General features: G+C 44.7%; 1 pseudogene; it reads right to left on the bottom strand.

The window, feature by feature from the left end:
- SNRPCP7 (small nuclear ribonucleoprotein polypeptide C pseudogene 7) lies at nucleotides 6281-7059 on the bottom strand (annotated as a pseudogene).

Genomic DNA, 26029 nt, shown 5'->3' with positions numbered 1-26029 from the left:
TCTTTATCAGCTGTGTGAGAATGGACTAATACAGTAAATTGGTACCAGAAGTGGGGTGTTCCTAAAAGATACCTGAATATGTGGAATAACTTTGGAACTGGGAAACAGGCAGAGGTTGGAGGGCTCAGAAGGAGACAGGAAAATGTGGGAAAATTTGGAAGAGATTTCCTAGAGACTTGCCCAAAATGCTGATGGTTATATGGACAATAAAGTCTAGGCTGAGGTGGTCTCAGATGGAAATGAGGAACTTGTCAGGAACTGGCACAAAAGTGACTCCTGTTATGTTTTAGCAAAGAGACTGGTGGCATTTTGCCCCTGCTGTAGAGATTTGTGGAATTTTGAACTTGAGAGAGATGATTTAGGTTATCTGGTAGAAGAAGTTTCTAAGCAGCACAGCATTCAAGAGATGACTTGGGTGCTGTTAAAGGCCCTCAGTTTTATAAGGGAAGCAGAGCATAAAAGTTTGGAAGATTTGCAGCCTGACAATGCAATAGAAAAGAAAATCCCATTTTCTCAAGAAAAATTCGATCTGGCTGCAGAAGTTTGTTTAAGTAACGAGGAGTCAAATGTGAATCTCCAAGACAATGGGGAAAATGTCTCCAGGGCATGTCACAGAGCTTCATGGCAGCCCCTCCCATCAAAGGCCCAGAGGCCTAGGAAGAAAAGATGGTTTTGTGGACTGGACCCAGGTCCCCCCTGCTGTGAGCAGCCTCGGGTGCCTGAGTCTTAGTCACTCCAGCTGCAGCTAAAAGGAGCCAAGGTACAATGTGGGCTGTGGCTTCAGAGGGTGCAAGCCCCAAACCTTAGCAGCTTCCACATAGTGTTGAGCCTATGGGTGCACAGAAGTCAAAAATCGAGGTTTCAGAACTGCTGCCTAGACTTCAGAAGGTGTATGGAAATGCCTAGTTGTCCAGGCAGGAGTTTGCTGCAGGGGCAGGACATTCATGGAGAACCTCTACTAGGGCAGTGCAGAAGGGAAATGTGGGGTCGGAGCCCCCACATAGAGTCCCTACTGCAGCACCACCTAGTGGAGCTGTGAGAAGAGGGCCACCATCCTCCAGACCCCAGAATGTTGGATTCACTGACAGCTTGCACTGTGTGCCTGGAAAAGCTGCAGACACTCAATGCCAACCTGTGAAAGAGACAGGAGGGGGTTTATACCCACAAAGCCACAGGAGTGGAGCTGTGGCCTTTTTTCTCCCAAGGCCATGGGAGCCCACCTCTTACATCAGCATGACCTGCATGTGAGACATGGAGTCAAAGGAGATCATTTTGGAGCTTTGAGATTTGACTGCCCCACTGGATTTTGGGCTTGCATGGGGCCTGTAGCCCCTTTGTTTTGGCATTTTTTTCCCATTTGGAATGACTGTGTTTACCCAATGCCTATACCCCCATTGTATCTAGGAAGTAACTAACTAGTTTTTGATTTTACATGCTCATAGGTGGAAGGGATTTGCCTTGTCTCACATGAGACTTTGGACTGTGGACTTTTGAGTGAATGCTGAACTTAGTTAAGACTTTGGGGGACTGTTGGGAAGGCATAATTTGTTTTGAAATGATATTTGGCAAGGGCCAGGGGCAGAATGATATGCTTTGGTTTTGTTCCCACCCAAATCTCATCTTGAATTCCCACATGTTGTGGGAGGGACCTGGTGGGAAGTAATTGAGTCATGGGGGCAGGTCTTTCCCATGTTGTTCTCGTGATAGTGAATATGTCTCACAAGGTCTGATGGTTTTAAAAAGGGTAGTTTCCCTGCAGAAGCTCTCTCTTTGCCTGCTGCCATCCATGTGAGACATGACTTGCTTTTTCTTGCCTTCCAACATGATTGTGAGGCTTCCTCAGCTACGTGGAAATGTAAGTCCATTAAACCTCTTTCTTTTGTAAATTGCCAAGTCTCAGTCAGTTATGTCTTTATCAGCAGTGTGAAAACAGACTAATACACCTTTGTTCCTTTTTTCTCTCATTATTTATTGTTGCAGTTTGGTGGTTTTCTTTAATGGTGATGATTGAATCCTTTCTCCTTTGTGTGTCTGCGCTACCATGAGTTTTATACTTTCATGTATTTTCATGATGGTAGAAATTGTTCTTTTTCTTCCCAGTGTAGGACTCCCTTAAGCATTTTTTGTAGGACCACAACAAACAAGACACAAACAAACAGTCTTTTGCTTATCTCGGAAATATTTTTTCTCTTTTTTAAGCAATGGAGTCTCACTCTGTCACCCAGGCTGGAGTACAGTGGCATGATCATAGCTCACTGCAGCCTTGAACTCCTGGGCTCAAAGGATCCTCCTGCCTCAGCCTTCTGAGTCTCTGGAATTGCAGATGTGAGAAACAGTGCCAGTCTTCTTCATTTGTGAAGGATAGCTTTGCTGGGTATAGCATTTTTGCCTTACTTTTTTTTTTTTTTTTTTAACTTGTAGTATACATCCCCTTTTCTCCTAGCCTGAAAGGTTTCTGCTGAGAAATCCCCTGTTAGCCTGATGGAGATTCTCTTATAAGTGACTTGATGCTTTTCTCTTGCTGTTTTTAGCATTTTCTCTTTGTCTTTTGACAATTTTACCATAATGTGCCTTGGAGAAGACCTTTTTGAGTTGTATTTATTTGGTAATCTTTGAGCTTCCTGTATTTGGAAGCTTTCAGGAAGTTTTCAGTTATTATTTTATTAAATAGGTTTTCTATGCCTTTACCCATCTCATCTCCATCCAGAACTCCCAGAATTTCAGTTTTTGGTCACATATGTGTCCCATATGTCATGTAGCCTTGCTTCATTCTTTTTTCTTTCTTTTTGTCTGACTGAATTATTTTAAAAGACTAGTCTTCAGGTTCAGAAATTCTTTTGTTTTGCTTGATCTAGCCTATTGTTAAAGCTGTCAATTATCTTTTGTATTTCTTTCAATGATTTCATCTCCTCCAGGATTTGTGTTTGGTTCTTTGTTATGCTGTCTATCCCTGTTGAATTTCTCATTCAGATCATGAATTATTTTCCTGATTTTTTTGTATTCATTATCTGTGCTCTCTTATATCTCCCTGAGTTTCTTTAATATCATTATTCTGAATTTTTTTCAGGTATTTCATAGATTTTCTTTTCATTGGAATCTGTTGCTGGAGAATTATTGTGCTTCTTTGGCGATGTTATGTTTCCTTTTTAATATTTCTTGCATTCTTATGTGACTATCTGTGACTCTGACATAGCAGTCACTTCTTCCAATTTTCTGGGTTGGCTTTTATATGGGAAAGAGCTTTTCTTATAGCTGTATCTACAGTGTTCATTGGATATCACACTTTGGCTTTGATTCTGGGTGGGCACAGTGGTATAGTCTGCATATGATTTCTTCAGCTGTAATTGGCATGAGTGGTGTCTGTGAGTTATTCAGTGGCTTAGACTGCAGTTTTTTTTGTTTGTGTGTTTGTGGTTGAGATGGAGTCTAGCTCTCTCACCAGGCTGGAGTGCAGTGACACAATCTAAGCTCACTGCAACCTCTGCCTCCAGGTTCAAGCGATTCTCCTGCCTCAGCCTCCTGAGTAGCTGGGACTACAGGCACGTGCCACCACGCCCAGCTAATTTTTGTATTTTTAGTAGAGACAGGGTTTCACCATGTTGGCCAGGCTGGTCTCGAACTCCTGACCTCATGATTTCCTGCCTCAGCCTCTCAAAGTGTTGGGATTACAGGTGTGAGCCACCATGCCCAGCCAGACTGCAGTTGTTATTGGAGGCTGTGGTGAGGCTTTGCTGAGGATGGAGATGCCTGGAAGTCTTGTCCTTCAGCATCAGTGGTAGTGGTGGTAGACCAGGTGTGTCAATACTAGGGACCATGGGCAGTGTATGTGGGCACTGATGATAGCCTGTCTGCATGGGCCAATCCCTGGGCCTCCAGGTGGCTTCTTTGGTTGCTGGCAGTGGCAGCACTGGGCCAGGTGGGCAGGTGCGCCACTGGGCTCCTGGGTGGTGTGTGTGGCAGGCTGATCTCTAGTTCTCCAGGTGACATGCGCAGGTTCCGGTGGTGGGTAGGCAGGTGTTTCCTCAGGCCTCTCAGTAGTAAGTGTGAGCGCTAGCTCTGGAGGCAGTGTGAGTCAATCTCCAGGCCCCCAGATGGTACATTCAGGCACCAGCATATTCCTATGCATTTCTAGATAAAAGTATTTTTCAGAAAACCTGAGCATATGTCCTATTAATACCACTTACCCTCATCAGCTCTGCATGAGAAGAAGGGGGATTTCCCTCAGTAGAACAGTCAGAATGGAATCACAGACTTGTTTTGAGCCAGTCACTGGTAAGTGGGGGTAGGCTAAAATGTTAAGCTCAGAATCTCAACCTTAGACTAGGGAATGGCAAATGTTTTCCATAAAGAAGCAAACGGTAATATTTTAGGCTTTTGGTCTAGATAACCTCTGTTGCAGTGACGCAGTGGTGCCATCGTAGTCTAAAAGCATATGTAGACAAGGCATAAATGAATGGACCTGCTTTTATTCCAGTAAAACTTAATTTATACAAACAGTCAGAGGGCCAGATTTGGCCCTTGGTCTATAGTTTGCCAACCCTGTTTAGACTGGTCACAATTTATTCCCTGGGGCTGGGCCAATTTTTTCTTAAAAAAAAAAAAAAGTAAGCAACCCGCTGTCAGAATAAAATAGGGTTTCTATTTAAAAAGAAGAAGAGGCTGGGTGTGGTGGCTCATGCCTATAATCCTAGCACTTTGGGAGGGTGAAGCAGGAGGACTGCTTGAGGCCAGGAGTTTGAAACCAACTTGGGCAATATAGTGAGACCCTGTCTCTGCAAAGAATAAAAAAATTAGCCAGGCATGGTGGCACATGTCTGTAGTCTTAGCTACGTAGGAGGTTGAAGGGGAAGATCAGGGGAGACCAGGATTTTGAGGTTACTGTGAGCTCTGACTGTGCCACTTGTACTCTAGCCTAGGCAAAGAGTAAGACTCCGTTTCAAAAAAAAGAAAATGGTAATGGTTGGTTGGGGTGGGTTGGAGAAGAAAGTATTTCTGAATTTCTGGGTAGGTAACTGGTAGTGTCAGGCCAAAGTAGCTCTACAGTCTTATTCATTATAAATAAAGGCAACTAGAAGATCTCCATCTAGCTATTAAAAATTGGCAAAAATCTACAGAGATAAAGGATGGTGACCCTTGTATCAGTTAGTTATTGTCACAAAATGCTGTATAACATGTCACTCCAAATCTCAGTGGCTTAATACAACAGTCATTTATTTTCATGGAGCTATGGGTCAGCTGAGGATTGGTTAATCTAGCATGAGCATGTCTGGGAAGCTCGACTTTGCTCTTGGTGTCTCTTATCTTCTGCTGGAAGCAGCAGGCTGGCCTGGGCTTGTTCTCATGGTGACAGCAGGAGTGAGTGAGCACAAATGAATGCATACTTTCCAAGTTTTTGGTCATGCAGATTAATATTCCAGTGGCCAAAGCTAGACACATGACTAAACCCAACATTAGGGGCTGGAGAAATATACTCCGATTCTTCAGCGGGAGGCACTGCAGAGACAAATGGCAGAGTCTTGGATACAGGGAGGAAATGGATCCATTAATGTACCTTAATCAACAACAGCCCTCTAGCCACCAATGCAATTAAATAAGTATTTGTTGAATGCACTTGTGCCTGAATGCTTCTAGCTGCAGCCCAGGCAGTGCGGGCCTGACTGGGGAGGGACCATAGCAGGGACTCGATGTCCTGCAGGTCTGCATGTAATTGTGTACGGCGGACTCCATATTGGTCATGGCTGATTTGCTTTGTCCTGCGTCCCCAAGGGGCAACGATTGGCCGATTTTATTTCTGAACAATTTTGACAAAGTTGTTTTCAGGAGCCCAGGGGAAGCAAATCAGTTGTAGATTTGAATTTTGCAGGGGGTCAGAATTGTTGAATATATATATAGTCTTTTACATGCTGATAATTATTTCCATACCACAAAGAAGGCTAGCTATTAGGAGGCTGCTGTTCAATTCCTTTGCCCCGTGAGCTCATGAGCTGTGTCTATGTGGGGGCCACTCACTTGTTAGAGATATTTCCCTTCAGAATAACATTAACCAATATTCTAAATAAATGCAGGAAATTAAATAGTTTTCCCCAGACAGGTACTTTTCCCTTCTAAAGTGAATTACACATTGTAAAATAAAACACAGTCACATTAAAAAACCAAAAGGTCTTTGTGTTAGGTTGGTCTGGCATCAGCAAAGATATTTTCCTCCAGAGTAGAAGATCCTTTTAATGCACGATATTGCATGTGGCAGCCCCACATCTCGTTTCCTTTTTTTTGTTGTTGTTTTTAACTAAAAGAGTTGACAATTTTATTTTCATATTTCCCAATAGAAATGAATACTGCATCTTTTTGTCCCACTTCTCCCCTCCAAAACTATTCTCTTTGATAGGGCAAGGGGACAAGTCTTCCTTATGCTGTTAAGAAAAGCCGGCATCACAGCAGCATGATCTCCTGGTGAAGGGAGCAGGTAAATATAAAACTCATATAGGCCGGGCGCAGTGGCTCACACCTGTAATCCCAGCACTTTGGGAGGCTGAGGCGAGCGGGTCACGAGGTCAGGAGATTGAGACCATCCTGGCCAACATGGTGAAACCCTGTCTCTACTAAAATAAAAAAAATTAGTCGGGCATGGTGCACACGCCTGTAGTCCCAGCTACTCAGGAGGCTGAGGCAGGGGAATTGCTTGAACCCGGGAGGTGGAGGTTTCAGTGAGCTGAGATCGTGCCACTGCCCTCCAGCCTGGGCGACAGAGGAAGATTGTGTCTCAAAAACAAAACAAAACATTACAAACAAAGAAAACACAACAATAACAACAACAAAACAACACTGATGTATGAGGCCTCCCCTCTATCCTTATCTGTCTGGTCGAGTCATTCTGGGCTGACTGGGCACCATCATGAGATGGGCAGGAGGTCTCATCATTGGGCACCCAGGCATCATGGGCATGTGGCCTCCCATGGGCGGCCTCATTCCAGGAGCAGGTCCCACTGGCATCATCCCAGGAGGAGGAGGGCCCATCATTGGCATCATGGGAGGGCCCCCCATATGGGGTGCTGCCATCATTCTGAGATGTGCGAGAAGTGTCAAATACACATTAGATTGTGAAGACTTAATATAAAAAGAAAGCAAAGTATTTTGTTAATGTTAAAATATTTTATACTTGTAGACCTGGTATTTCGGATAGATTTGTTTAAATCTCTGATATTATTCCAATTACCTTCACTTCTTTTGTTTTACTTTTTAAAATGTGGTTACTACAAAATGCAAAAGTAAATATGTGGCTTGCATCATATTTCATCACATTTAGTGTGGACCCTGAGGATCTAGGGGAGTTATGAGCCTTAAGTTGAGGGTGACCCAGGTCAAAGTGAATTGCTCTGAAAGAGAAGCAAAGGGCATAAAGAGAATGTATAAATGGAGAGAGGGAGCTCAGTCTCACAGGGTGAGGAAAGGCTTTCTTTCTTACACAGTCTGGCACTTCTTCAAAAGCTTAAACACAGAGTTCTATGACCCACCACTTCCACTCCAGTTTATGAAACAAATGAAAATATATGTCCGTGCAGAAACTTGTACACAAATGCTCATAGCAGCATTATTCATAATAGCGCCAAAGTGAAAACAACACAAATGCTTGTCTACTGATGAGTGGAGAAATAGAACATGGTTTGACCATGCAATGGAATATTATTCAGTCATCAAAAGGAATGAAGTACTAACACGTGCTACAACACGGATGAACTATGAAAATATTATGCTAAGTAGAAGAAACTAGTCAGAAAAGGTCACATATTATAAGATTTCATTTATATGAAAAGTCCAGAACACGCAAATCTATGAAGACAGGAACCCTGTCTCTACTAAAAATACAAAATTAGATGGGCGTGGTGGCATAGCCCTGTAATTCCAGCTACTCGGGAGGCAGGAGAATTGCTTTAACCCGGGAGGTGGAGGTTGCAGTGAGCCGAGATTGTGCCACTGCACTCCAGCCTGTGACAGAGACTCTATCTCAAAAAAGTAAATTGTCAGGGCTTAGTGGGAGGAGGAAATGGCAGGTACCTGCTCATAGATACAGGGTTTCTTTTGGGGTGATGACAATGTTTTAAAATTGATCATGATGGTGGTTGCCGAGCTCTGTGAATGCACTGAAACCATTGATTTGTTTACTTTAAATTGGCAAATCATAAGGTACCTGAATTATATTTTAATAGTTATATTTAAAAAGTAAAATCTTCCTGGAAGAGATGACACTTAAGGAGAGGCCTAGGGGGTGGGATGAGTTCACTATGTGGAGAAATGAGGAACAGCATTTCAGGGTGAGGAACAGCATAGTGAAGTCCCTGAGGTTGATAGGCATACAGCAGATTTAAGGGACTTTTTTTTTTTTGAGACGGACTTTCACTCTTGACGCCCAGGCTTGGGTGGAGTGGTGCGATCCTGGCTCACTGCAATCTCTGCCTCCCGAGTTCAAGTGATTTTCCTGCCTCAGTCTCCCGAGTAGCTAGGATTACAGGTGCCGTCCACCACACGTGTCTAATTTTGGGATATTTAGTAGAGATGGGGTTCCACCATGTTGACCAGGCTGGTCTCGAACTCCTGATCTCAGGTGATCCACCCGCCTCAGCTTCCCAAAGTGCTGGGATTACAGGCGTGAGCCACTGCGCTCAGCCAGATTTAAGGGACTTTCAAGAAGTTTCTGTGGCTGAAGCCTGCAGGGCAAGCGAGAGAATCAGGAAATGAGGCTGGAGAAAGACAGGGGCTAGGTCATAGAGGGTCTCACATTAGGGTGTGGAAACTTCACACGAGTGGTCCCACCTTGGGCATCCCACGTAACTACTCTCTGTCCCAGCTTCCCCACTGGTGAAATAAAGGGCTGATGTAGGGATGGACTGAGATAGTGTGTGCTCAGAAAAGGTGACCTTTTATCGTTGTTGTTTTTTTTTTTCCGAGATGGAATCTCATTCTGTCACCCAGGCTGGAGTGCAGTGGCGCGATCTCGGCTCACTGCAAGCTCCACCTCCCGGGTTCACGCCATTCTCCTGTCTCAGCCTCCGGAGTAGCTGGGACCACAGGCGCCCGCCACCACACCCGGCTAATTTTTTTGTGTTTTTAGTAGAGACGGGGTTTCACCGTGTTAGGGAGAATGGTCTGGATCTCCTAACGTCGTGATCCGACCGCCTCGGCCTCCCAAAGTGCTGGGATTACAGGCGTGAGCCCCCGCGCCCGGCCGAGCTTTTATCATTGTTAACCCACACAGCAGAGGGAGCCATTGAAAGTTGAGTGATCTGTTTGGATGCACCTTCTGAAGTGATTGCTTTGGTCCCTGTGAGGAGTGCAGATTGTCACAGGGCCAGGGAAAAGCAGAGGCCAGTCTGGAGGCATTTGCAGTCAAACAGCTGGAGGTGATGGTGGCTTGGTTTATGGTGGTGTCAGGAGAGTGGCTGAGCAGTGAAGGATATGAGAGATTTAGGAGGTAAAACCTACGTGACTTGGTCACTGAATGTGAGTTGTGTGGGCTGGAGGAAAGGTAAGAAAGAATGAGAAGAAAGACATACGCAGGTGGGCCCTCCAGCCTAAGGTTACTTGAGGTCCCTTTGTGAAGAGGAATGTTTGTGTTGATGATGAAGATGTCTAGACTTTGAAAGGCCATTTGCAGGACTTTTTTTTTTTTTTTAACAGCCAACAACTCCTCCTTCCCTGTGCCCTAAATATATGAATGTTTTTTGACCTAATTTATCACAGAGGGATGGACGTTCATTTGCTTTAATGAGAAATGCGGAATGCCATTAAGAAAGCATATTAAATTAATCTGGATTGCTGGGAGGGAGTTAAATCTGTTTAGATGTGCACCAGTGTTACTATAATAGTTTGGTCTCAACCCATTTCTGGCCTGCGGCTGCAGGAGGTTGACTCCCAGCTTGCTTTCATTTGAAAGATCCCAGCTACAAGCACATTTGGCATTTCCAGCCAAATCCACTTTGTGCAGTGAAGGAAAAGTTGAGGAGTGCCTCTGTTGTTTTCCCCCAAATCATTAGGCAGAAATGTGGCTGGGAGCTTCATTGCTGATTTTTTCAGTTTTAATATTGCTGTGGAAAGCCTGTACCAACACTCAGCCATGTTATTAATCCACAGCTCCAGTCTGGGCTGTGATTTGTTTTTCCTTTGAGTGACACAACCTTATTTTCCATTAAGACTCAATGCAAATAGACACTCATGCACCATCACCATCACTCCCCCTGATTGGTGGAGGGAAGTCAATGGAATGATCCTAGTTTGGTGTTCATATCGGAGGGTTTTATTTATTTATTTTGAGACGGAATCTCCCTCTGTCACCAGGCTGGAGTGCAGTGGTGCGCTCTCGGCTCACTGCAACCTCTGACTCCCTGGTTCAAGCGATTCTCCTGCCTCAGCCTCCCGAGTAGCTGGGCTTACAGGCTTGTGCCACCACGCCCGGCTAATTTATTGTATTATTAGTATAGACGGGGTTTCACCGTGTTAGCCAGGATGGTCTTGATCTCCTGACCTCGTGATCCGTCCGCCTCGGCCTCCCAAAGTGCTAAGATTATAGGCGTGAGCCACTGCGCCTGGCCTGGAGTTGTTTTTAAAACCACATTTCTCTGAAATTAACTCCGGGGTGTCCCACTGTGACTAGGGCAAAGGTTTGGATTTTCTGGAGGTGGAAAGTCAAACTTCAAGTAGAATTTGGAGGCTGCCACTGTGGTTCATGCCTGTAATCCCAGTACTTTGGGAGGCTGAGGTGGGTGGATCATTTGAGGCCAGAAGTTCAAGAACAACCTGGGCAACATTATGAGGCCTCGTTTCTACTAAAAATACAAAAATTACCTAGGTGTGGTGGTACATGCCTGTAATCCCAGCTACTTAGGAGGCTGAGGCAGGAGTTATTGCTTGAATCTGGGAGGCAGAGATGTCGTGTCCAAATCCCATGAGGCGTATCAGCTGGCTGAAGATAAAATCGGTCACGCTGTGTTGGGATTGGGGTTGCTGTTATCATCCCTCATCCCCACCCCTGCTAGGCATCCACAAACAGTCAACTTCAATGAGACATCCCTCCTGCCCCTGGCTGCCTTATTTCATCTGCACCCAACCATATCCATTGCTTGTCACTGGGTCTCAACCTTGGCTGCACCTTGGAATCTCCTGGGGAGATGAGACAATACCAAGGCTCTCTCTCACTTAGCGTGATGTTTCCAAGGTCCATCCACATGTGGTAGGCACCAATACTTTCACTGTATGGATACAGCACATTTTGTTTATTCATTCATCAACCAAATGGCCATCTTGGTTGTTGCTACCTTTTGGTTATTATATATATTACATGATTCCATTTATGTGAAAGGTCCAGAATAGGCAAATCTGTAGAGGCAGAAAACAGGTAAGTGGTTGCCAGGAACTGGGGGAAAGGGGAGGGGATGGAGAGTGCTTGATTGGATACAGGGTTATTTTTTGGGGGGGCTGGGGGTGTTAATGAAAATGTTTTGGAACTAGACAGAGATGATGATTGCTTAACATTGTGAATGTATTTAATGATACCGAAGTATATGGTTTCATACAGGGACTTATGTGTTATGTGAATTTTGCCTCATTAAAAAAATACTGCTAGGAGCAATGGCTCATGCCTGTAATCCCAGCACTTTGGGAGGCCAAGGCAGGTGGATCACCTGAGGCTGGGAGTTGGAGACCTGCCTGGCCAACATGGTGAAACTCTATTAGAAATACATAAATTATCCTTTCACATCTTTGGGGGGTAATTTTTACAATGCAGTCTAACAACCAGCTGCCTCAAAATGAACTGGGATCCCTCATAACCAGGTAGCTCCCCCATCTCCAACTCTCACCTGCCAAGTCAGAATCTTGCAGGTGGGTTCGAGGACTGTACATATTGAAACAGACAGTAACCTGGGAACTGTTTCTGAACACCCCTATGTTTCCCCTGTGTTTGCTCTTTCCTTTCACGTTTGGACCCCTTTGTGTGCTGACCACTGGGCTGTTTCACGTAGACATAACATAAATAAGACAAGCCAGGTGCAGTGGCTCATGCCTGTAATCCCAGCACTTTGGGATGCCGAGGTAAGCAAATCACTTGAGGCCAGGAGTTCAAGATCTGTCTGGCCAACATGACGAAACCCCATCTCTACCAAAAATATGAAATTAGCTGGGTGTGGTGATGTACACCTTTGATCCCAGCTACTCAGGAGGCTGAGGCTGGAGAATCCCTTGAGCCCAGGAGGCAGAGACTGCAGTGAGCCGAGATCGCACCATTGCACTCCAGCCTGGGTGACAGTGAGAGTCTTAAAAAAAAAAAAAAAAAAAAAAAGACAAAGATAGTCCTTCCTTTATGGAGCTCTCAGTAAAACAAGAAAGCTCACGATGTCCTGGCATTTGTCAGAAATACATTTGGTATATGCAGCTGGGGTCACATGCTTGACATGCCTATTGAAAGCTTCTGGGTAGGAAGAGAACAATCATCACAGCATCACAGCCTGGCATAACTGTCTCCCAGGACAGGTCTCCCTGGGGAGACTGAGACCACACCTCTGAAATCAGAGCTCAAATCCAGGTTCTACATTTCGCTCAGTAATGTACATGATGTAGGACAGTTTTTATATTAGTTATCTATTGCTGTGCAACAATATTACTGCAAACTTTGTGGCTTGAGACAGCAGACAGTCATCACTGCATGGTTTCTGTGGGTCAGGAATCCAGGCGTGACTCAGCTGGGTTCAGTGCAAGGCTGCAGCCATAGTGTCAGCCAGGGCTCAGTTCTCATCTGGAGGCTTGACTGGTGTTTGATCTGTTTCCAGGCTCATCTGGTTGTTGGCAGCATTCAGTTCCTTGCAGGCTGCTGGACTCAGGGCCCCAGTTTCTTGCTGCCCTCAGCTTCTTGCCACATGGGCCTCTCCATCTGGCCGCTCATGACATGGCAGCTCACATCTTCAAAGCCAGCAAGACAGACAGCCTCCTAGCCAGACAACTTAACATCCTATCTAACGTAATCACTACATCCCATCACCTCTGCCATATTCTTTTGGTTATAAGAAAGTCATAGGTCCCTTTGTCAGATGAGTAGATTGCAAAAATTTTCTCCCATTCTGTAGGTTACCTGTTCACTCTGATGGGAGTTTCTTTTGCTGTGCAGAAGCTCTTTAGTTTAATTAGATCCCATTTGTCAATTTTGGCTTTTGTTGCCATTGCTTTTGGTGTTTTAGACGTGAAGTCCTTGCTCATGCCTATGTCCTGAATGGTATTGCTGAGGTTTTCTTCTAGGGTTTTTATGGTTTTAGGTCTAACATTTAAGTCTTTAATCCATCTTGAATTAATTTTTGTATAAGGTGTAAGGAAGGGATCCAGTTTCAGCTTTCTACATATGGCTAGCCAGTTTTCCCAGCACCATTTATTAAATAGGGAATCCTTTCCCCATTGCTTGTTTTTGTCAGGTTTGTCAAAGATCAGATAGTTGTAGATGTGTGGCATTATTTCTGAGGGCTCTGTTCTGTTCCATTAGTCTGTATCTCTGTTTTTGTAACAGTACCATGCTGTTTTGGTTACTGTAGCCTTGTAGTATAGTTTGAAGTCAGGTAGTGTGATGCCTCTAGCTTTGTTCTTTTGGCTTAGGATTGACTTGGCAATGTGGGCTCTTTTTTGGTTCCATATGAACTTTAAAGTAGTTTTTTCCAATTCTGTGAAGAAAGTCATTGGTAACTTGATGGGGATGGCATTGAATCTATAAATTACCTTGGGCAGTATGGCCATTATCATGATATTGATTCCTCCTAGCCATGAGCATGGAATGTTCTTCCATTTGTTTGTGTCCTCTTTTATTTCATTGAGCAGTGGTTTGTAGTTCTCCTTGAAGAGGTCCTTCATGTCCCTTGTAAGTTAGATTCCTCGGTATTTTATTCTCTTTGAAGCAATTGCGAATGGGAGTTCACTCATGATTTGGCTCTCTGTTTGTCTGTTATTGGTGTACAAGAATGCTTGTGATTTTTGCACATTGATTTTGTATCCTGAAACTTTGCTGAATTTTGGTATTTTTAGTAGAGATGGGGTTTGCTGAATGCAGCCCCTAGTCACGTACTCCCTGCTTGGTCAATAGATCAAGACCCTCTCATGTGGACCCCCTTAGAGTTGTGAGCCCTTAAAAGGGACAGGAATTGCTCACTTGAGGAGCTGGGTTGTTAGAGACATGCACCACCATGCCCAGCTAATTTTTTTATTTTTAGTAGAGACGGGGTTTCACCATGTTTGTTGGCCAGGATAGTCTCGATCTCTTGACCTCGTGATCCACCCACCTCGGCCTCCCAAACTGCTGGGATTACAGGTGTGAGCCACTGCACCCAGCCCAGAGAAGGCTTTTCATACTTGCTTCACAGCCTCCTGCATCCTACCCCAGCACCAGGCACTCACCACCTGTGGGCTGCGCTCATCTGTGATCATCTCTCCCCAGGCCTGCTGTTCCTCGAGAAAGGAAGTTGTAATGGAAATAGTTCTAGGACAGCCCCCAAGAGACCCACTCCCTTATATCTGCTCCCTGTATCATCTCCTCTTCTTGAGTGTGTGCAGAGCTTGCGATTTGGCCAAGAGGAAGGGATTTTGCAAATGTGATTATGGTCACACTTGCTTTGTTAAGCACATTTGCTCAGCTGACTTTGAGTTCATCCATAGCAGGATGATCTTAGGTGGGCCAGACCTAATCAGGTGAATCTTTTAAAGGTGAAGTTTCAGAGATTGAACCCTTAGCCTCCAAGGAGACACAAACGGCCATGCTGTGAGCTGTCTTTGGAGGTGGCAGCTCTAGGAGTTGAGGGCCTTCATTCAACAATTGTAAGTAATTGAATTCAGTTCACAGACTGAATAAGCTTGGAAGAAGACACTGAGCATCCGATGAGACCCCAGCTCCAACTGACACTCTGGTTGCCGTATTGTGACCCTGAATAGAAGACCCAGTTAAACCCTGCCCAGACCCTTGGCTCATGAAAACAGATAATAACTGGGTGGTGTTTTAAGCTGCTCAGTTTGCACTGGTAAATCCACCAACAGGAAAGTAATATAGAAGTTAAATGGGCCGGACGTGGTGGCTCATGCCTGTAATCCCAACACTTTGGGAGGCTAAGGTGGGTGGATCACAAGGGCAAGAGATGGAGACCATCCTGGCCAACATGGTGAAACTCCGTCTCTACTAAAAATATAAAAATTAGCCAGGCATGGTGGCATGCACCTGAAGTCCCAGCTACTCAGGAGGCTGAGGCAGGAGAATCACTTGAACCCAGGAGGTGGAGATTGCAGTGACCCGGGACCATGCCACTGCACTCCAACCTGGGCAACAGAGAGAGACTCCATCTCAAAAAAAAAAAAAATTTTAAACGAATACTTTTGACAGTTGATGGAAGTTACTTTCATTCCCTCTTACTTAATCATCTTTATCTTAGCCCTGAAAGAGGGATGCTTTAACCCCATTTGTAACAAGTGAGTCTGAGGCCCGGGAAAGTGATAGAATTTAGCAAAGTCCACCTTGCCACCTGGTGGCCCCAGCTAGAACTCAGCCCCAGGTCCATATACCTAAAGTCATTACAACATACACTGAAATTTTGCCCCTCTCTCCATGCCTTCCTCTTTAGAAGCCTGTTCCTTCTGGGATAGATCCCAACCCAGTGTTACAAGGTACTGAACTCTGATTTTCACAAAATATAGTAACTACCCCCCAAAATTAATAATAGTATTTTTGAGCCGGGCACTGTGGTTCATGCCTGTAATCCCAACACTTTGGGAGGCTGAGGTGGGTGGATCATGAGGTCAAGAGATCGAGAGCATCCTGGACAACATGGTGAAACCCCATCTCTACTAAAAATACAAAAATTAGCTGTGAGTGGTGGCAGGCGTCTGTAATCCCAGCTACTTGGGAGGCTGAGGCAGGAGAATCGCTTGAACCCAGGAGGCAGAGTTTGCAGTCAGCTGAGATTGCACCACTGCACTGCAGCCTGGGAACAGAGCAAGACTCTTTCAAAAAACAAACAAACAAACAAAAACCTATTTTTGAGTCCTTATGTGTCAACCACTGGGCTATCCCAACACCAATAGATATTATGATTATGATTAGTTTTTCCATTTTATTGATGAGGAAACCAACACATAGAAACGTAAAGGAACTTGCCAAAGGTGACGGTCACACAGCCAAAGAACTGTAGAAGCAGCACAGGCATCCCAGCAAACTCACAGCCAAGCTCTGCTTTTCACCTTCACATCATACTGTCCTCAGACTAAAACCCTAACTCTGACCCTCCCAATCAAAAATCATACTCAAGGATGGGCGTGGCAGCTCATGCCTGTCATCTCAGCACTTTGGGCGGCCGAGGCAGGTGGGTCACCTGAGGTCAGGAGTTCCAGACCAGCCAGGCCAACATGGTGAAACCCCATCTCTATTAAAAATACAAAACTTAGCCAGACGCAGTGGTGGATGTCTGTAGTCACAGCACTTTGGGAGGCTGAGGCACGAAAATCACTTGAACCCAGGAGGCATAAGTTGCAGTGATCCATGTTCATGCCACTGCACTCCAGCCTGGGCAAGAGAGTGAGACTCTGTCTCAAAAAAAAAAAAAAATTGTGCTTAATAATAACTTGGAAATGCACATATCTTCTGTGAATTTTGATGGACAAAAATTAGCTTCAAAACACAAATAAGTAACTGTGTTTAAATGAGGCCTTCTGTGTAATAGCTAGGGAAAATCAATGTAGCTATTCTTATTTTGATTCCCATTCCAGGCACAGAGAAGTTGCCCATGTCTCTGTGATCTGTATTGTCCAATGAACCATGAGCAAGAGCAACTTGAGTCACCTCCAGGTGGAAGTGTTGTGTGAACCACCACATTCCCTTTCCCCTGAAGTAGTGATCAAGGACACATGCAGAGATGGGGCTTTTGTCAGCCTGGATCCCTGAGTGAACACAATGAACAGACCACCCCACAATGCCCTAACACAGCCCAGACATGCAACGTGACCAAGAATAAGCCTCACTGTGGCCAGGCATGGTGGCTCATGCCTGTCATCCCAGCACTTTGGGAGGCCAAGGCGGGTGGATCATTTGAGGTCAGGAGTTCAAGATCAGCCTGGCTAACATGGTGATATCCTGTCTCTACTAAAGTACAAAAATTAGTGAGACAGTAGTGGCACAGGCCTGTAATCCCAGCTACTCAGGAGGCAGGAGAATTGCTTGAGTCTGGGAGCCATAGGTTGCAGTGAGCTGAGGTTGCACCATTGCACCCTAGTCTGGGTGAGAGAGTGAGACCCTGTCTCAAAAAACAAACACACAAACAAATACCTCACTGCATGGATCCACTGAGATTTGGGGATTGTTGTTACTGCACCAGAACCCAAATCATCCTGACTGCTAGACTGTCCTAACTAGGGTTTCTTACCAAAAGCAAAGGCATTTTTAAAGTTCATGACAGACATTTAAACAAAAGAGCAAATACCAATATCTGCCACTTTGTCAGGCTAACAAACCCAAACAAAGCCAACAGCCAGAAGTTAAAAGAAACAGATCATTAGGTTGAAAACAGAACTGTCAAAACAGGCACAATTGACTTCATTTAGTGATTGCAAAGAACATCAGGCAAGACACACATGTGGTCATCATATCATTTATCACATGCTTAATTGCACATGTTTGACTAAGAAAAACACAAAGTATTTAAACTCATCTGTAGTTCAAAGTGCCTATCCATGTGTTTATTCATTCATCCTGATTTATTTATTGAGCAACTCTTTTGTGCCAGGCACTGTGCTGGGTGGTGGTAATGCAATGATGAAGATGGCAGACACAGCTCTGCCCTCCAGGAGTTTCTAGGGTATGGAGGGAGACAAAAAATAAGTAAATCCATGAAAGAACTATTGATGGAACCTGCCCCCAATATTTCAACATAGGTTCTTTCTATTTTCCGTAAGTGTCAGCCAGCTGAGAAATAAAGACAGACACTACAAAGAGAGGAATTTTACAGCTGGGCCGCTGGGGGTGACACTACGTATCAGTAAGTCCATGATGCCTGCTGAGTCTCAGACCAGCAAGTTTTTATTAAGGGTTTCAAAAGGGGGGGAGGCTGTAAGAACAGGGAGTAGGTACAAAGATCACGTGCTTCAAAGGGCAAAAAGCAGAACTACTACTAAGGGTCTAAGAAAGATCACATGCTTCTGAGGAACAAGACAAAGGGCAAAAGCAGAACTACTGATAAAGGTCCAGCAAAGATCACAAAGCTAAGGGCAAAAGCAGAACCACTGATAAGGGTCTATGTTCAGTGGTGCACGTATTGTCTTAATAAACATCTTAAACAACAGAAAACATGGTTGGAGAGCAGAGAACCAGTCTGACCACAAATTCACCAGGGCAGAGTTTTTCCCCACCCTAGTAAGCCTTTGGGTACTGCAGGAGAGCAGGGCATATCTCAGTCCTTATCTCAACTGCATAAGACAGACATCCCCAGAGTGGCCATTTATAGGCCTCCCCCCAGGAATGCATTCCTTTCCCAGGGTATTAATATTAATATTCCTTGCTAGGAAAAGAATTTAGCAATATCTGTCCTACTTGCATGTCCATTTATAGACTCCATGCAAGAAGAAACATATGGCTCTTTTTGCCCAAACCTGCAGGAAGTCAGACCTTATGGTTGTCTTCCCTTGTTCCCTAAAAATTGCTGTTATTCTCTTCTTTTTCAAGGTGCACTGATTTCATATTATTGAAACACACATGTTTTACAATCAATTTGTACAGTTAACACAATTATCACAGTGGTCCTGAGGTGATGTACATCCTCAGCTTATGAATATAACAGGATTAGGAGATTAAAATAAAGACAGGCATAAGAAAGTATAAAAGTATTATTTGGGAAATGATAAATATCCACAAAATCTTCACAATTTATGTTCCTCTGCTGTGGCTTCAGCTAGTCCCTCCATTTGGGGTCCCTGAGTTCCCGCAACAAGAAATAATGAGGTTAAGGTGGAGAAGAGCAGGGAAGTCCACTTGATAAAGGGGTCAGGAAAGAGCTGTCTGGAAGCATCATTTTAGCTGAGACCCAAAGGATGGTCTAATTTGGGGAGGTGCAGAGGAAAATCATTCCAGGCTGAAGCAGCAAGTGCAAAGGCCCTGTTGTGGAGAAAGGTTTGAAAGTCGAAGAAAACAAAAGGAGGCCAGAGTGGCTGAAATAGAGTAGGCCAAGGGGAGGAGATAGGAGAGAGCTGGAGAGGTGGCACGAACAGGCAGAAGACTCGGGGTCTCTATTTTATTCTATGTGCCATGGGCAGGAAAGGCAGGAATGAGACTCAATGGACACCTTAAGATCACTGAAGCTGCTAGGTAGGAAATGGATTGCTGAGCATGGAGAGCAGGTGCAGAGGACCAGTTAAGACCAGTTAGGAGGCTACTGCTGTAGCCCAGCTGGGATAGCAGTGTCCTAGGCAAAGATAATGACAGTGAAGATAGAGATAGTGGACAAGTTGGATAAAGTTTAGAATCACAGGACTTCTGACTGGAGAAGAGGGCAAAAGCAGAGTTAGCACAACACATGAGTTATGACCACCTTGAGCAGCTCAGCAGGGGGTGGTGCCATTTACAGAACAGAGATGGCATGGACAGAGCCCATGGAGGAGGAGGAGGAAAAAAAGTTTTTCTTTTGTTTTTTTTTTTTTTAAGACAGGGACTCTGGCTCTGTCAACCAGGCTGGAGTGCATTGGTGCAGTCATAGCTCTTTGCAGCCTCAAACTCCTGGGCTCAAGTGATCCTCCTGCCTCAGCCTGCCATGTAACAGGACTACAGATCCTACAGATGCACTTCACCATGCCTAGCTTTTTTTTTTTTTTTTGTAGATAGGGAGTCTCACTGTGTTCTCCAGGCTGGCTTCAAACTCCTGACCTCAAGTAATCCTCCCACCTCAGCCTCCCATAGCACTGGGATTACAGCCATCACCTACCACTCCAAGCCATGAGTTTGGCTTTGGATTTAAGAAGGTTGAGGTGTTCATGAGTTGACAAGTGGAAAAAACAAGAAAGAAGTTGAGTGTTTAAGACTGCTGTTTGAAGGAGAAGTCTAGCCTCAAGACAAAAGTTCAGGACTCATCAGCTGAGAAATGGCGCTGAAAATTATGCAAATGGATGAGCTCAGCTAGCAAACAAGTCCAGAGAGAGCAGCACTGGGCTATGCACCTGGCCTAATGCTTCCCTGCTCCTCCCAATCCCTGTGTTATGCCGGAGAGGGTTCAGCCTCTGGTGAGTTTCACCAAACCGCCACATCTCTTTCTTCTGAGACCTTCTCTAAAATCCCCTCTTTTATGCTTAGTGAAATGGGATTCTCTTTTTCCCATCCAGCTTAAGCAAAAACTTTTGACTATGAGAAGAATGAGGATGCATTTAGTATCTGTTCTGCATGGCTAATTCCATCAAAGATTTCTCATTATTCATGCCTGGCAGTCTCATTTTCTCCTTTTGCCTCTAAGAGCACAGTCGTAGCCTTAATTACTGACCTTTTCACCCTTCTAATACCAGCGATTTCCCCCATCTCAGTTCTCAGGAATTTCTGTTGGCAGAATTATCTCCTGAATCCTCACCTGGAGATAGAAATTGATCTCTGTGGCCATTTCTTCCCCCTCTAATTCTTATCAAAAAACTCAGTGATCTCTGTGCATCAAATATTAAACTCAAGCTTAAGAGATCATGATTCTGGCTTCTCTCTCTCTCCGGCCTGTGGGTTAACAGGTTTGCAACCTTTGCAGAGAAGACACCAAATTCTCAGGAGGCCAGAGTTTCCAAGGGTACTGGTCACTCTTGCTCTCTTTCTCCTGCTCAAAATTCAGCACTAGAGTGTGTTACACCATTGCACCTGCAGAGGAGTTCATCTGACTCTAGGGACTACAGAGGAGAGAGATGGAAAAACTAACAGGCATTCAGAAAATGACTACCACAATGGGGAAGAAAATGAAAGTCAAACCAAATAAGCAATGGTCAAAAAAATATATATATTAGAGGCCAGCTGCAGTGGCTCACACCTGTAATCCCAGCACTTTGGGAGGCTGAGGCAGGTGGATCATTTGAGATCAGGAGTTCGAGACCAGCCTGGGCAACATAGTGAAATCACATCTCCACTAAAAATACAAAAAAATTAGCCAGATGTGGCGGCAGGCACCTGTAATCCCAGCATTTTGGGAGGCTGAGATGGGTGGATCACCTGATGTCAGGAGTTTGAGACCAGCCTGGCCAACATGGTGAAACCCTATTTCTATTAAAAAATACAAAAATTAGCCAGGTGTGGTGGCAGGTGCCTGTAATCCAGCTACTTGGGAGGCTGAGGCAGGAGAATGGCTTGAAGCCAGGAGGCAGAGGTTGTGGCGAGCAAAGATTGCACCACTGCACTCCAGCCTGGGCAACAGTGAGACTTCGTCTCAAAAAAAAAAAAAAAAAACACCCTAGAGATGTCCATCCAGGCTAAAGAGAATATTCCAGAGCAGAGGTTGGGACACTATGGCCCATGGGCCAAATCTGACCTGCCTGCACATGTTTTTGTCAATAAAGTTTTATTGAAACACAGCCATGCCCATTTGCTACATATTGTCTATGGCTGCTGGATTAGGCTGTTCTCTCATGCTATGAAGAAATACCTGAGACTGGGTAATGTATAAAGAAAAGAGTTTTAATTGGCTCACAGTTTTGTAGGCTGTACAGGGAGCATGACACTGACATCTGCTGAGCTTCTGTGGAGGCCTCAGGAAACTTACAATGATGGCAGAAGCTGAAGTGGGAGCAAGAGAGTAAGGAGGGAGGTGCTACACACTCGTAAACAACCAGATCTTGCAGGAACTCACTCACTATTGCAAGGACAGGACCAAAAGGATGACGCTAAATCATTCATGAGAAATCCACCCCCATGATCCAATCTCTTCCCACAAGGCCCCACCTCTAGCACTGGGGATTACATTGCAACATGAGATTTGGGTGGGGACACATATTCAACCTATATCAGCTGCTTTCATGCTATGGGTGGCAGAGTTGATTAACTACTACAAGAGACTGTATGGCCCACGAATTCTAAAATATTTACTATCTGATGCTTTCAAGTAAAAGCTTGCAAACCCTGCTCTTGAAAAGGAAGGGAAGGAAGAGGAGAGGAGGAAGGCAGGAAGGAGCAGAGAGGGACACGGGGCTGTATTCAAACATCTGTTGTTAAGAAAGAGAAATTCAATTTATTTGGCATGGTTCAAGTTATCAAACTAGGAGCACTCCATTGAAGTTTCAGGACAAACACTGTGCTGAATGTCAGGATGACCCCATCTGTAATGCCTAACCTTGTTTTTATTAACTTTGTTCTTAGACTTTCCTTTTCTTTTAATCACTTAGCCTTGTTTCTACCTGAATTGACTTTCTTTTAGCTAAGAGAGCTAGACAGACTTTATCTTGGCTTTTTCACTGGCAGCCCCTTCCTCAAGGACTTAACTTGTGCAAGCTGACTCTTAGCACATCTAAGAGTGCAATTAACTGATAAGATACTGTGGCGAGCAATATCCGCAGTTCCTAGGAATTTGTCCGATTGATAATGCCTAAAGCCCCACGTCTATCACTTTGTAATAGTCTTCAAGCCCTTAGACCTAGAACTGTTTACTTTCCTGTAACAATTTATCCTTTTAACTTTTTTGCCTACTTTACTTCTGTAAAATTCTTTTAACTACACCCCTTTCCCCTTTCTAAACTGAAGTATAAAAGAAAATCTAGCCCCTTCTTCGGGGCCAAGAGAACTTTAAGAGTTAGCCATCTCTTGGCCGCCAGCTAAATAAACAGACTTAATTCATGTCAAAGTGTGGCATTTTCTCTAACTCGCTCAAGTACAACATTTGGAGGCCCGAGCGAGAAACGCCACCAGGCGAGAGCCGGGCTCGCTCCGGGCTCCCCCGGAAGGACGGCCGGCTTGTAGTGGGGGTGCCACCTGAAAAAAAATTTTCAGGTCCCCAAAAGGTGACCGTCTTCCAGAGGAGAGCGGATCGACTACCGTGTGGATGCCCACAAAAATTCCACCTCTGAGTCCTCAACTTCTGACCCCGAGGTCAGGTAGGTCAGATTTGATTTCAGTTCTAGTAAGAGGGAAGCGGCCCTGATGAGGGCGTCCCTCTTTTGACTCTGCCCGTTTCTCTAGGAAGCTAGAAGGTAGAGCCCTGGTTTTCTGTTAGGCACCTCTGTGTCTCTTTCTAGGAGGGAAGTGGCCCTGACAGGGGTCCTCCCTTGACTCAGTCCACATCCCAGGATGCTGGAGGACTGAGTCCTGGTTTCTGGCAGACCGGTCACTCTCTCTCTCTCTCTGTCTTTTTCTATCTCTCCTCTTTCTCTTCTTCAAGTTTCTTGAAGAAACTCCAAGAAAGAAAAAAAAAAACTGTTATAAACTCTTTGTGAATAATGAATGAATGAGGGAGGACAAGGGCTTGCGCTTGTCCTCCAGTTTGTAGCTCTACGGCGAAAGCGACGGAGTTCAAGTAGACCCTCACCTGCGGTTCCTTGGCGACCTCATAAGGCTTAAGGCAGCATCAGGCATAGCTCAATCTGAGCCGGAAGTTTATACCGGCCTGCCAATGCTAAGAGGAGCCCAAGTCCCCTCACGGGGAGCGGCCAGGCAGGCATCTGACTGATCCCATCACAGGAACCCCTCCCCTTGTCTGTCTATTAAAAAAAAAAAAAAGGAAGAAACTGTCATAACTGTTTACATGCCTTAAAGTCAATTGTTTGTTTTATATTGATTGTTCTGTTCAGTTTCTATTGTCTTCTTAGTAGTTGTGAAAGTTTTGCATGTCAGGACGGTGATATTGCCCAAGACATCTAAGTAAAAACTTCTTCAAAGTCCTTAGTGCTGATTTTTTGTCACAGGAGGTGAAATTTCTCATCAATCATTTAGGCTGGCCACCACAGTCCTGTCTTTTCTGCCAGAACCAAGTCAAGTGTTGTTACAAGAACAAGTGTGAAAAACATTTGCCTGATTAAGATTTCTAGCACCATGAAAGTTGTAAGTATTTAGATCGTCACACTCCACGTCCAAGTGATTAGACCTCCTCTAAACTAAACCAGTAGTGAGTTCAAAACAGCCACCCTGCAGATTTCCTTACTCACCTCTTTTGTCATTCTGTAACTTTTCCTGTGCCCTGAAGTAGAACACTATGTAAAGAAATGTACGCCCGTACTGCTTTACTTCGTTTAGATTCTTACTCTGTTCCTCTGTGGCTACTCTCCCATCTTAAAAATGATCCGAGTAGTCCTTTTCCACCTTGTCCCTGCCCCCTACCCCGCACATCTCGTTTTCCGGTGCGACAGCAAGTTCAGCGTCTCCAGGACTTGGCTCTGCTCTCACTCCTTAAACCCTTAAAAGAAAAAGCTAAGTTTAAGCTATTTGCCTTTAAGTCATAAAGACACCAAAAGTACTTAAAGTGCAGATCTAGAAGAAGAAGAAGAACGCCTAGATCAAACTGACCCAGAAGATCTCAGGCTGGCTCTAGTCCTCCTCCCTCAATCTTAAAGCTACAGTAATGTAGCAAGTAGTATTAGCTGTTGTGGTTTTTCTGCTCTTTCTAGTCATGTTGATTCTGTTCTTTCACTACTCCAGTCCCCCAAGAAATGTTTCTCTGTCCATGCTAAGTTTAATATCTATGCTCAAATCTTATTAAATTGCCTTCAAAAAAAAAAAAAGAAACACTTCCTCCCAGCCTTATAAAAGTTAAAGCCCTCTCCAATGTATTCTGCAGAATTTTCCTCTCAGTTCCTCAGAGGATTATAAAGTCCGCCTTAAAAAAGGCAAGCTCCAGACACTCTGCAAAATAAAATGGCCAAAGTTTAAAGTCAAGTGGCCCCCTGAAGGGTCATTGAAACTTGCAATTCTTCAAGCTGTGTGGCAGGTTGTTACTGAAACTCCTAGCCACCCTGATCAGTTTCCCTACATTGATCAATAGCTAAGATTAGTCAGGATCCCCCCTCCATGGCTCCATTCATGCGCCATTCATAATTCTACCTCCAAGGTCCTCCTAAGCCAGACCGCGTTTTCGCCTCGACCCTCAGCCGGTTCAGCTTCCCCTGTACTGCCTCCCTCTGAAGAAGAGGGGAGTCTCCCTCACCCAGTCCCACCGCCTTACAACCAACCTTCTCCCTTAAAGTTATCCCATGTCTCCTCGACGACGTCCCCTGTAGGCTCGCCACCCATTGCCTCTCAATCATGACCGTGGCAGGAAGAAGTAGCCCCTCTACTACCACTGAGAGAGGCACAAGTCCCTCCAGGTGACGAGCGCTCAGCACCCTTCTTAGTTTGTGTCCCTTTTTCTACTTTTGACTTACATAATTAGAAAACTTATAATCCTCCCTTTTCTGAAAAGCCCCAGGCTTTGACCTCTCTGACAGAGTCTGTACTCCGGACTCACTCACCCACCTAAGATGATTGCCAACAGCTCCTTTTAACCCTTTTCACCTCTGAAAAGAAAGAACGTATCCGAAAAGAAGCCAAAAAGTACTTCCTCACATCAGCCAGTGGACCGGAAGGAGAAGCTAGAGACCTCCTTGAGGAGGTCTTTCCCTCTACCCGGCCTAACTGGGACCCAAATTCTTCAAGTAGAAAGGGAGCTTTAGACGATTTTCACTGGTATCTCCTCTCACAAGTATTAAAAGAGCCGCTCAGAAACCCATAAACTTGTCTAAGACGACCGAAGTTGTCCAAAGGCCAGATAAGTCACCAAGAACGTTTTTAGAGCGCCTCCAGGAGGCTTATCGGATTTACACCCCTTTTGACCCGGCAGCTCCCGAAAGTAGCCGTGCTCCTAATTTAGCATTTGTGGCTCAGGCAGCCCCGGATATTAAAAAGAAACTCCAAAAACTAGAAAGATTTGCTAGAATAAATATCAGTCAGCTTTCAGAAATAGCCCAAAAAGTTTTTGACAATCATAAGTTTAAAAAACAAAAACAAGCAACACAGGCAGCTGAAAAGGCCACTCATAAAGCATTCAAAAGACAAACAAAAATC

Source organism: Homo sapiens, chromosome 12, assembly GCF_000001405.40.
Source record: "Homo sapiens chromosome 12, GRCh38.p14 Primary Assembly".
Lineage (NCBI taxonomy): Eukaryota > Metazoa > Chordata > Mammalia > Primates > Hominidae > Homo > Homo sapiens.
This window is presented reverse-complemented; position numbering and strand designations above follow the sequence as displayed.